The sequence below is a fragment of the Homo sapiens genome, chromosome 10 (genome assembly GCF_000001405.40).
Source record: "Homo sapiens chromosome 10, GRCh38.p14 Primary Assembly".
Taxonomy (NCBI): Eukaryota; Metazoa; Chordata; class Mammalia; order Primates; family Hominidae; genus Homo; species Homo sapiens.
The window spans coordinates 22,675,791-22,688,777 of NC_000010.11; the positions used below are offsets into that span (position 1 = coordinate 22,675,791).

General features: G+C 40.1%; 1 protein-coding gene across 5 annotated transcripts in view, besides 3 other annotated features; it reads right to left on the minus strand.

Moving 5' to 3' along the window:
- The window catches only part of PIP4K2A (phosphatidylinositol-5-phosphate 4-kinase type 2 alpha), a 179,725-nt gene that overhangs the window by 140,937 nt on the left and 25,801 nt on the right, over positions 1-12,987 (minus strand). The window lies entirely within an intron of this gene.
- Positions 6,574-6,693: an enhancer, noted in NCBI's record as "active region_3143". NCBI's record gives its function as "activates an Ori minimal core promoter by ATAC-STARR-seq in GM12878 lymphoblastoid cells {active_cell/tissue: GM12878}" and the evidence as "EXISTENCE:reporter gene assay evidence [ECO:0000049][PMID:35858748]".
- Positions 7,434-7,653: an enhancer, noted in NCBI's record as "active region_3144". NCBI's record gives its function as "activates an Ori minimal core promoter by ATAC-STARR-seq in GM12878 lymphoblastoid cells {active_cell/tissue: GM12878}" and the evidence as "EXISTENCE:reporter gene assay evidence [ECO:0000049][PMID:35858748]".
- Positions 8,194-8,263: an enhancer, noted in NCBI's record as "active region_3145". NCBI's record gives its function as "activates an Ori minimal core promoter by ATAC-STARR-seq in GM12878 lymphoblastoid cells {active_cell/tissue: GM12878}" and the evidence as "EXISTENCE:reporter gene assay evidence [ECO:0000049][PMID:35858748]".

Sequence of the window (12,987 nt, forward strand, 5' to 3'; positions counted from 1 at the left end):
ATGGCAGGAGGTGCTGAAGCCTGACTAGTTCCTGGCTGTCATCCTTGAACAACACAGTGTTTCTCTGACATTTCCCGACTTGGAAGAAGGAAACTGATCCACAAAAAAATCACATAATTTATTGCACATTTCCTATTCCTTAAATACTTTGGAAACTGTGGCTAGTATTTCTCAACAACCATTAACAGGGAAACAGACACACTGTTGCCATTTCTTTGTCCCTGTGCTCCATGATGGCACATGGAGCTCCTTTTCCTTTTTGTCTTTTCTTTCCTGTCTTTTCATCTTTTCGGCTCCTTTTCCTGTCTTTTCATCTCTCTGAGCCTCCGTGGAGAGCATTTTTGAAGTGTCTGTTTCCATTGACAGCAGAGGCTCAAAAACTGTGGTCCCAGTAACAGTGCTTTCATTTCCCAAGTTTCTTCTGCTCAATAAGACCCTTGACCAACTTACATTAAACAGCAAATAAAGTTAAGACTTCATGTAAAGTCATCAAGATGTATTCCCTTCGTATGGAAACCAGTACCTACAGAAGTTGTTCACAGTGATGACCTATTGCTTCCAAAGGGCCATGTAACAGCCCAAAGACTTCAAGGACCAGTCTTCATCAGAATTTGTAACCAATCTTTAAACCTATCGTCTCTCAGCTTTGTCTCACTGCTTGAAGAAAATAGCATTTAATGTAGATATGGCCAGATCAAGAGGGGCATTCTAAAAATCTGAATGTGGCACGATACAGTTATAGGTGGAGAGTCTTCAGCTGCTACATCATCTCATCCAGCAGAGAGGAACAAGGGCAAGAGACTAACCAGAGGGAATATCTGGCTCAGTGATGGGCTGATAAGGGAGACCTTTCATAGGCTCTTCCTGCTGATGAATCAGAGAACAAGAAGTAAAAGGTACATCTGCTTAACTGGGCAACTGCTATAGTCCAGGCACTGTTCTGGGTGCTGAGGATACAGAGCTGAATGAAACAGAAAACATTCCTTTCCCTCATGGAGCTTCTTAGCAGAGGAGGAAGCCAACAATTAAAAAACCAGAATGTCACTCAGTACTAAGTGCCACAGGGGAGAAAGGCTTAGCTCAGAGGGATGGCAAGAGCTGAATACTGGGAGATGCTGTTTTGCCTAAGAGGCTTACAATATTTATTACCTGCTAGTAGGTTAGTCTGGTACAATCTGTGCCACCAATACTAGAAATAGGAGAAGAAAAAGCATGATTTTATTGCAAATTACTTTCCTTATATTTCTCTTTCCTGTTATACTTAGGACATTATATTCATTTTTTAAGAGCTATCATCTGTGAATTTCATATCAAGTTATTAAAGGAGGTTACCATGTACATGTTTTGCATGTACATGTTTGCATCACCTGGCAAAGAAGGTATTGGGCCCAGCTGGGGTTGAGAATTCCTACTGGGGTGTGCTCATTCACTGGGTGCACTCCGGGCACCGATTCCACACCAGGCCCTACCCCTTCTGGAGACTGTATTATCATAGGGAATCAGACTGAGACTTAATGGGCACGCCAAATAATTAAACAGTGGCACTTTCAAAGTGTTTTAAAGGAAAGAAAGGAGGGGCTTACACAGAGATAGGGCTAGCGCGAGGGTCTGCTTAGTTATGAGGAGACCCCAAGAGGGAGTAGGCTGCTGGAACAGGCTCTCAGGCTGCATTTTACACTGGGGCACAACTCCCTGCAGATAGCCACAAGGCAAGCATTCAGCAGCCACACGTGGCTCGTGGCTGCATGTGGGATCCTGCAGAATGATGAAACAGAATGAGCTCTGAGAGGATGAATGTGGAAACTGAGTGATGGGTTCATGCGTATTCCCTCTACTTTTGAAATGTTTTAAGTTTCCCTCAATAAAAAGGTACAAGAAAAAAATAAATCCTCAAAACCACTTCCACTTGTCAGTTTCCTACAAACTATTCACTTAGCTTACTTAGTTCATGGCAAGCAGTAACACAGATTCTTCAAACCATCAGAAAATGTTTCTAAGATGCAGCTAAAATATAATCTAGCATCTCAATCAGTCAGTAAGGTCCTAAAGTGGCCTTCTAGCTGAAGTTTAAATGAAAGTAACAATTCGGAGATTTGCTAAAGGGAGGCTGCGTGTGGTCTAAGGAAGAGTCGATATAATAGGCCACTAAGGGCTCTTAAAAAGAATCTAAAAATACGAAAACACTCATCTGCTACTTTGGCTCCTCTAAATGAATAGCTGACCATTAATCACATTAACACAGATTTTACAGAGCAGACATCAGTTAAAGCTCCTGTACATTTTTCACTCCTTTTAAACCATGAGGAATGAATGATATAAAAATTATGTTCAATTTTAATTGCTGGACTTTAAAAAAAAAATCTCTATTTTGTCACAATTGTCTTCTCAGTGTTACCCCTGCCAACCCCCCTTTCAACAACAGAAATGAGATACCAGGGACCAGAGCAGAGCCAGGAGGGTTCCACTTTCTCGGTGATCCCATTAGGTTCATACACCAGCAGATACGGCACCACACATGTGCGTGTCTTCATGTGGTCCCTGAATTCTTTTTAGCAGTGCATGATAAAGAGAACACACATACATACACACACACTCCAAATACAAGACTGAGAATGAACACCGGCATACTTTTCTTAGTGGCTATTTCCCAAACCTTTCTGCATTTCTTTCCTTTGTCGTTCTATGGGGAAAAGTCTGTTTTACTTCCTTGAAGACAGTAAAAAATAAATAAATAAATAAATAAAAATAAGCTGTTGAAAGAGCAACAGAATGTGAAGGCAACCCAGCTTTATGAAATGAGTTTGCTGTGATGAAAACTCTTCTCCAGCAGATTCCTATTTTTTTCCTAGCCAGCAGACTGGAGTGCTCAAATTCTAATGTCAGACAAATCTTGGTACTTAGATTCCGAAGGAAGCTTCCCATTCCGCCCTAGGTAATGTATCCTTTAGGAATAAAGACACCAGAACAAAATAATAAATGTACACAGTTTTGCAGTCTTATTTGTGGCAAAACCCAAAAAACTGGAAATAGGTTATGTCTATCAATAGGAAATGGTTGAATACATTAAGGTCTACTTATACCTAGAGTATTAGACAGCTATGAAAAAGAATGTGTTCCCTATGTATTGTCCTTGAAGGATCTGCCTTTTTAAAAATACAGCAGAATGAGCTATAAAGTGTAAGATAAATGAATAAAATAACATTTAAAAAATTCTCTAAAATCTTTGTGACTTGTGTTAGGCAATGGTTTCTTGGATGTGACACCAACGGCAGAAGCAACAAACTAGAGGAAGTGGACTATATCAAAATTTACACCTAATGCTGCAAACAATACTATCAAAGTGAAAAGAAAACTAATAAAATGAGAGAAAATATTTGCAAATCTGACAAGTGACTTTTACTCAAAATATATACAGAACTCTTACAATTCAATAAAAAGACAACCTAATTAAAAAATGGGCAAAATATCTGAATAGCTATTTCTCCAGAAGATACAAAAATGGCCAATAAGTATATGGATACCTCCTCAATATCATCAGTCCTTTGGAACATGTGAATCAAAACCACAATGAGATACTACTCTTTCATACCTACTAGGATGGCTATAAGAAGAAGGACAGACAATATCAAGTATTGGCATGGATGCAGTGAAATTAGAAACTTCATACATTGCTAGTAAGAATGTAAAATTATACAGTTGCTTTGGCCATTCCTCAGAAAATTAAACACAGAGGTACCATATAACCCAACAATTTCACTACTAGGTATGTACCCAGGAAAAATAAAAACATGGGTCCACACAAAAACTTCTACACAAATGTTCATAGCAGCATTATTCGTAATAGCCAAAACATGAACACAATCCAAAGGTCCATTAATGGGTGAAAGGATAAACAAAATGTGGTCTATCCACACAATAGAATATGCCTTGACCCCCATAAAAAGGAATTAAGTATTGTTACAAGGTACAATGTGGATGAACCTTGGAAACCTTATGCCAAATGAACAAAGCCAGTCACAAAAGCCCACATACAAATCTACAGAGACAGGAAGCAGATTAGTGGTTGCCTAGGGCTGGGGGTAGGGGTTGGGGGAAATAAGGTTTAGGTTTCTTTTAGAGAGGATGAAAATGTTCTAAGATTAGATTGAGAATGGTTATACAACCCCTATATTTAAATAGTATATAAAAATATATACATTTTAGTAAATATACTAAAAAGCAATGAATTGCATATTCTAAATGGTATTTGAATTGTACACTTTATATCATATGTGAATTATATCTCAATAAAGCTGTCTTTAAAAAGGATTCCTTTAAAAAAAAATACTCTAGCAAACCTAGAAACAAAAAATGAAGACCATGCACTACTTTTGAATTATGTGGATTTTTAAATCCACTTAAATGGGCTGCTGTGGTCATTAAAAATTATGTTTTTGAAATATGCTTGTTTACTACACGAATAAAGCAGAGTACAAAACTATAAATAAATTTTATAAAACAAGAATATATTTTTAAAGAAAAGGCTGGTATTAATCGTGATTATCTTTAGATGGCCGAATTATGAGTAATTTAAATATTGTGCTTTAGAATTTTCTATCCTTTTCTAAATCTTCTCCAATAAGCATGCATTGTTTTTATAATCATAAAAATAGCATTTAATGTCTTAGATGAGCCACACGTACCAGGAACTCAAGTGGCAGAAGGATTTAACTACATTCTTTACTAACATCCTGGATGAGAGGGTATTTTCCCTCTGTCATGAATGACAATAAAAAGGCTAGCATACATCCCTAGTCCTTTTCAGTTAAGTAACACTGCGTAAAAAACACCCCAAAACTTCATGGCTTAAAACCACTGCCATTTTATTGGCTCATAATGACATGGGTCAAGAACTCAAGGAGGCTCAACATTGTGTTCCTGCGACAGCTCAGCGAGGGCTGGTGATCCAAGGTGACCCTACACATGTATTGAGGTCTTGGTGATGTTGTTCAAAGAGTGAAGGACATGCCATCCCAAAATATGCCGGATTTTTATATTGATTAGTGTGAGCTGAAAACACTGAAAAAGTTGTAGATTCCAACTTGACCCCAACAAGCCAGGTGACCTGGGTCTTCCTGCATGTAGCAAGCCACAAAGATTCCTTTGGGAGGGGCCCCTCACCTATTCAGGCGAGAAAATAGCCCTTATCCCAGAGACTAGGGTTTGGAAGATGCAACTAACCTGAATAAGGAAATTTCTGGAAGTAGCCCTTATCTTCTACCTGTTTTATACTCCCCATGTATCCTCCCAGTGACTCCCCTAGAAATGTACTGCCCCAGATTTTTTCTTGTCATTTCTTCTCAAATGTATCGTTCTCAGCATAAAAGTGTCTTGCTTTGGCCAATTCCTTTGGATTTCACTCTTTTAAAGATTCCCAGGTGCAAGTAACACTAAGAAAATTTGTATTCCTTTCTCCTATTAATCTGCCTGATGTCAACCTGACTTCTAGATCCAGCTGAAGAGCCCACTAAGAGCTAAAGGGAGGTTGGAGGGGACCTCTGTCTCCCCTACACTGTCAGCTAGGCCTTCTGAGCCACCTGGCTTCTCAAGACCTGGCTTCTCAGCCAGACACAGTGGCTCATGCCTGTAATCCCATCACCTTGAGAGGCCCAGGCAGGAGGACTGTTTAAGTTTCAGAGTTTGAGACCAGCCTTGGCAACACAGTGAGACCTTGTCTCTTCAAAAAATTTTAAAAATTAGCCAGGTGTGGTGGCATGCACCTGTGGTCCCACATACTCAAGAGGCTGAGGTAGGAGGATGCCTTGAGCCTGGGGGGTAGAGGCTGCATTGAGCCATGATGGCGCCACTGTACTCTAGCCTGTGTGACAGAGCAAGACCCTATTTCTAAAAAAAAATAAAATAAATAAAATTAAATTAAAATTAAAAAATAAAACGCAGGAAAAGAGGTGAAAACTCCTAATTTCAGCTACCAGCAATATTTTACTGTAGCAGAAACTGACTAACTTTCCCTGCAAGGGTTAGACAGTAAATAATTCTAGGCTCTGCGGGCCACACAGTCTCTGTCACAATGACTCACCTCTGCTGTTTGAGCAGCTACAAACTGGCAAACAAATGAGTGTGGCTCTGTTCCAATCAAACTTATCTACAGACACTGAAATTTGAATTTCATAGAATTTTCACATTATGAAATACTTTTTTAGAAAACCATTTTTTTTTTTGTACATACGTAAAAACTATCCTTAGTTCGTGGCCACACAAAAACAAGCAGCGGGCCAGATCTGGCCCACAAGCCATAGTCTGCCAACTCCTGTGCTATAGTTAATTCAAGATATAAAAATGCTCAAAGAGGAGTACTCTGTTGCATACCTTATCCACAAATCCACACACCATCCCTGTGTAGAGAGCACACAACCCTTAGCTACTGAATTTTTCACTGTCCTCAAACTGTTCTACTTAAGAGCCAAAGTTACTTTTCATTAAACTTTTCTCAGTATTTCAACTACTGTTTCTTTTTAACCTAGCAACTATCAGGCCTACTCATTTCCTCTGCCAGGAGGCAATGGTAGCCCTCAAACCTCAAGTATGCACACCTTGCCTTTATTTTCTAGAAAAGGCCAGCAATCTAAAAATTAGGAAACCACCCTGTTCTGATCATGCTATTCCTAATATAGTGTTTTATTTTACTGATAAAACAAAGCATTGCTGACTTACAAATTATTGGACAGTAACAGTGTCCATGAACCTAAAAAAAAAGTGCCATCAACTTGACACTTGAGAGTTTAGCTAACAAAGTACACAAAGAACAAACCACATGGTTGGTGCTCCGTGGTGGGGGTGGCAGAAGCAGGAACCCGCTGACAAGCACATCACAGGCCCTCCAAAACCTCAGAGTATCTGTTCTTCCATTAAACCTGCCTCACTTGTGAATTCCTCCAGACTGAGCCAGTCTGAACTTGGCTCCTAGACTCTCTACTCAGGGAGGGAGAACTAGAACCTGAGGTTAGTCAGGTTCACACACCACATTAACCCTTGCTGGGAACACTTGGTAATTGCAACAGGATCTGAAGAGACACAGATGGTCCAGTCATCTTTACATATGCATCATTTGCGTCTGAAAATCCTGGCACTACCCATGACCTTGGGAATGAACAATGTGCGGTCATCTACCATGTCACCTGCTGTCTTCTTTACAACAAGACTGATCTTTCAGATCCTTCTTTATTTTTGCGTAGCTGAGGCCATTTCTGAAGCCAAAAAGAAAAGAAAAAGAAAAACAACAACAACAACAACAACAACAAAAACAGCTGACACGACAGTACAGTATAAATAAAAATGAAGAAACTTTATGTTGGATCAAGCTGATAAATTACTGTTCAACCAGCAGCCTCTCTAGCAAGGGCAGCTATCTGAGCTGAAGACACCTGGACTGCTCTCTGACTCAACTCTTATGAGTTCTGCTCATACCACCGAGTCAAGGCTTTAACAGTATTTGCATTTGCCGTTTTTCACTGTGATCTTAAGTCACAGTTTTTCACAGTGATCCTAAGTCTTCCATGCTGTGGTACAGACCCCAAGTTTTCGCAACTCAGAGGTGGGCCAAGTGCAAGGGGACCTGAGTCAGAGCCAGGTTTGATCCTGACCGCAGAGCTGACAGTGTGGACTTAGCCGAGTCACTTACTCTGATCTGTTTGCTCATCTGTCAAATGTGAATAATGACTTGTCCCCAGCCTTCTCCTCAGTGCTGGGTACAGGTCAGGTGAGATGACAAAGGTGAAACTGCTTTGTCAACTGTCGAAAACAAGTTATTTTCTTCTTCCATTAACTTTCCCCCTCAAGCAGCAACTGCTTTCTTCTGTTCCCTTCTGCAGGGTTTGATAAAGAAGTCTGTTGAGCACGTGTTTATCATGGTTTTTAATCACAGCTTCATCTTTCCAGACTGCAGCGTCCCTCCTGACTGTAATTTCTTCTCATGGTTTGGTACCTCTTTCAGTCGCCCCTCCCTTAGCCTTTCCCAGTCTCTCTTGTAGCTTTCCTACCAAGCAGTTCACACACACACACACACACACACACACACACACACACACAATTCAAAGTGTGTCAGATCTTGAAATATTTTCTTTATATCTCTCCTGGAATCGCCCAGCGCTTCCTTGCCCGGAACGTTCCTGGCTACAATAAGCACCACATCGGCCAAATACCCATTAGAAACTGAATGATTCCTATCTGAAATACTCACAAGAAGCCTGGAGCCCATTACTTTGTGTGTAGAATGTAGTCTTTTTCCCCCCCTTAAATGCATTACCTCACATCTGTCTGTATTACAATTTAGTATGCCAACTTCCCCACTCACAGTTTCAGGCCTGTGGCAAACCATCTTTCAGTTTATTTTCCCCACTGGCTTGCTGTTTTATGACTTAAAAATACTTGAGAGCAAAATGTAAATTTAGGCAATCTCAAAGACATTACTGATTGGGTCGTTTTAATTAAAAACCAGCATTAGTATCTGTGGTACTAACAGTTAATACTAGGTACGCTTTGTCTGAATCCCTTATTTTTTCTTTGATTGCCACTGCCTCTACTTCTTTTGCCAAAGAAAGTTGTTTAAAAAACTTTTAAGCTTATATTCCTTCTGCCAAAAGCTAACACACAATGTGTTTTATCATTATTCTTTGTAATGCGCTTGTTTCATTATACTGTTTCTTATACATATATGTTCATAATTTTTAAAAATATACCTATTGGCTTTCCTTGTCCTCTTAAAAATATTCCCTACCTCAAACAAAACATTCTATTAGTGAAACATAATTTGTCTATCAGAAAACCTGACACACCTTCCAATGTCCAGTATCAGCTCGAGCTCCCTGGCATCAAAACAATCCCTGGTCTATAGGATGCCACCCACTAAAAATCTTTCCAGTGTCTCAGGCATATGGCAAAGTGGCCATTTGTAAATTACCCTGGAGTTCCTTGAACACTTCTGTGAAAATGCACAGCCCATGACTGTTGCTTCCCAGCATGTCACCGCCCTGCCAAGTCATCTGAAGTTGTGCTTTGGTGGGTCCTTATAGCACTGCTTATGGACATCTTGTCCACAGCTGTCCGATACACAGCTGCTTCACTTTTGTGTTCCTGACCATTTCGGCAAGTGTCCAGCTAGTAAAACAGGGTGCTAGTAAGGGTTATTTTTACACCTGTGGAACCCGTGCAATAACAGAAACCGCATTACTGGTGACACTCTTGTCATTTAATTTCAACCACAGTAGATCTGCCATGTATATATTTTTTCAAGAAGTCTAATGTTTACATTTTCAATAGGACTTTGATTCTGAAAATGGTTCTGCTTGAATTGAGTATTTAAAGTTATGAGATAAGAAGTACAACTTATAATTACACAGCATAAGAGATTATATCCAGATAATTTTTAAAAGGAGTTTAAGAGTCCCAGTGTATACTCTTCAACTGATTTTATTAAACAATGTTTTGGACATTTAGCATCAAGTCATACTATTAATGAATCATAATACTAAAAAATTTCAGAAGAGAGGCGAATCATTAAGACAATTTTCCTTGTGAAATTTTGGTCATGACAGAATCAAAATCTCAGGGTTAAGAAAGTGAAAAGGGTTGGGCACAGTGGCTTGCACCTGTGATCCCAGCTCTTTGGGAGGCTGAGGCAGGAGGATCACTTGATGCCAGGAGTTCAAGACAGGCCTGATCAACAAAGTGACACCCATTTTCTATAAAAAACAAACAAACAAACAAAAACTTTAAAAATTCGCTGGGCATGGTGGCATGTGCCTTTAGTCTCAGCTACCCAGGGGGGCTAAGGCTGATGCAGGAGGATCCCTTGAGCCCAGGAGATTGAGGCTGTGGTAAGCTATGATCCCACCACTGCATTCCAGCCTGGGTGACAGATACTGTCTCAGAAAAAAAGAGACAACAGAAGAGAAGAAGTGGGGGTGGCGGCGGGGCAGGGAGGGAGAAAGAGAAAAGCTACCTAGTCCTATCACTCGTCTGGTGCCATGCCCCTCACAGCAATGGCAGGCCATGAGGTCAGCAGACAACACCTCCAGTCATTCACACTGGTGACTGCAATACTCAGTTACCTATTTTGTTGTTTGTAATTTAATAACAATTACAGTTCTCTAATTTACTTTTTATATATGAATGTGAGTAGATTCAATGCCACGCCATCCTCTCCCTCTCATTCCAATATTCGCCTTAAGTGAGGCAGGGATCGAGTAATACTGGGCGTGTCAAGATTGCTGCAAACTTCCGACAGTGCCCATGGGAGTCTGCTGTGCTTTTGAGTGTTTATCCATCCTGTCTATCACTGTGGAAAACAACTTGGAAACATGCTGAACCGGCACATTTCGGATAATTTCAGGAACAGGAAACTCATTATTCCCAAAGGCAGTTGGCCAAATCCTTGGACAACTTGAACTCCTAGATAGTTGTTCTTCTCTCCTGAAGGAAATGTAATCTCCCAATAGATTCCACAAATTACGTCTTAACTAAACCCCACAAACCATTTGAGAGAGGGGACTTTAAACCCCTGGATTCCTTTCAGGGTTCTGAAAACTGACATCAGTAGGCATCAAAAAGACTTTTCTTCCTGTTAGTTATACTAGGTTGAGAAGTCACTCAATAATTGAAGAAAGCAAGCTCTATTTTCTTCTTATTGGATTTTTATTTTTTAATTAAGAGATGGGGTTTTACTCTGTTGCCCAAGCTGGAGTGCAGTGTTGCAATCAAAGCTCAATGCAGCCTTGAACTCCTGGGCTTAAGTTCCACCTCAGCCTCCTGAGTACTGAGACCACAGGCATACACCAACTAATTAGTTAAAAAAATTTTTTTTTAGTAGAAACGAGGTCTTGCTTTGTTGCCCAGGCTGGTCTCAAACTCCTGACTTCTAGCAATCCTCCCACCTTTGTCTCCCAAAGGAATGGGATTATAGGTGTGAGCCACCGTGCCCAGCCTCTATTTTTTTCTTTAATCTAGGAATAAAGTAGAGTATGGTACAAAGTAGGTAACATTTCAACATTTTAAATTTCTCACGCTGACGCAGCTAAATTAGACCATTTGAATTTTTCATGTCTGGAGACGCCAGAAGCGCATTTAGGGCCGTCTGTTATGAGAGGTATTCCGCAGCTGAAGAACGCGCACATTCTGTCTCCTGCTCCACAGTTACTTAGCACATACATGCTCACTCGTAAATAGCAAATGAGACCTTATTTGTTTTACTGGATTAAGTTCTTATACATTAAATGTGATATTCTGATATGCTCATGATGCGGCATGCTATGTGACACTATACTAATCTGCAATTCAAGTAGGCAAGAATAAGTCAGATTAAAAAAAAAAAAAAAGGATGAAGGAAATGTCGACCTCAGATGAAAGAGAAACCCTTCCTGAGACCCTGCCATTTGCCACAACACGAAGTGACCTGGAGGACATTATGTTAAGTGAAATACGCCAGGCACAGAGAGAAAAATGTTGCATGATTTTATATGTGGACTCTTTTTAAAAAGGTCAGGTATGCATTTAATCAAACAATGGTTATCAGAGCCGAGGTGGAGGGAGGCCCAAATGAAGAGATGGAGGTCAAAAGATACAAAATAGCAGATACAGAGGATGAACAAGTTTAGAGGTCTAATGTAGACCTCATGTATTAACATGAGGCCTAGAGTTCATAAAACTGTATTGGGGATTTTTGTTAAATAAATAGGTTTTAGTTACTCGTTACGAAAGCAGACACACACACACACACACGCATACACATGCAAACACACACACAAATTAACTACCATCATCCTTTGAGATCAGTGGACAACCGGTTGCAGGAATCCCTCAGGACACCAAAATCCGCAACGATCAAGTCCCTGATACAAAATGACGCAGCTTTGCATATAATCTGCACACATCCTCCTGGATACTCTATATCATTTCTATAATCCCAAATATAAAGTAAATGCTATGTGAATAGTTATATTGCATTTTTAAAAAATCTGTATTATTCTCATTGTTACATTATTATTTGTTTTTCTCCCAAGTATTTTCGATCTGTGGTTGGTGGGATCTGCAAATGCGGAACATGCAGATACAAAGGGCCTACTTTGTGCGAGATCATTGATAGATGAATTTGCTTCACTATAGTCACTATTATCTCTGTGAATCCCATAGCATCATGTTGTAAACCTCAAATATACAGAGTAAAATTAATTTTAGAAAAAGAAATAGGGGAAAAAATGAAGAGAAAGTACACCATAGGTCAAATCTTCACACAGACAGGAGACCCCACAGCATGAACTGAAACATCTCACCTGAAAATGTATTCAGTTCACATTTTATTAGAGACGAGTAAAGGGTCCACCAAAGTGACAATAATCTGAAATATTTTTAAAGAAGAAAATTTTCTGAATACAGTAAGAAAGCGACATGAAGAAAAAAGAAAACTGGTAACACTGAGTAACTTACGTACAGTATCAGGAGAGGACAGGATTCTATACAGACTCAAGATGAAGGACTATAGCTAATAAACCTGCGCACATTCTCAGGTGTCTGGCACAAAGTTAAGAACCATTTACAGAATTTCCTTACGTGGTTCTTTGATAGTAGTGACAGTATCTGGTGGGAAAACCACAAAGTATCTAAAAGCATGAAATACTGATTGACTGATTAAGACAGGGTCTTCCTCTGTCGCCCAGGCTGGAGTACACTGACACCATCTTGGCTCACTGCAGCCTTGACCTCCTGGGCTCAAGTCATCCTCCCACCTCAGCCTCCCGAGTAGCTGAGACTACAGGCACTCACCACCATGCCTGGTTAATTTTTTTATTTTTCATAGAGATGGGGTCCTGCTACGTTGCCTAGGCTGGTCTTGAACTCCTGGGCTAAAGTGATCCTCCTACCTCAGACTCCCAAAGTGCTGAGATTATAGGCATGAGCCACCGTGCCCAGCTGAAATGTTTTACTCACAGAAGTTGT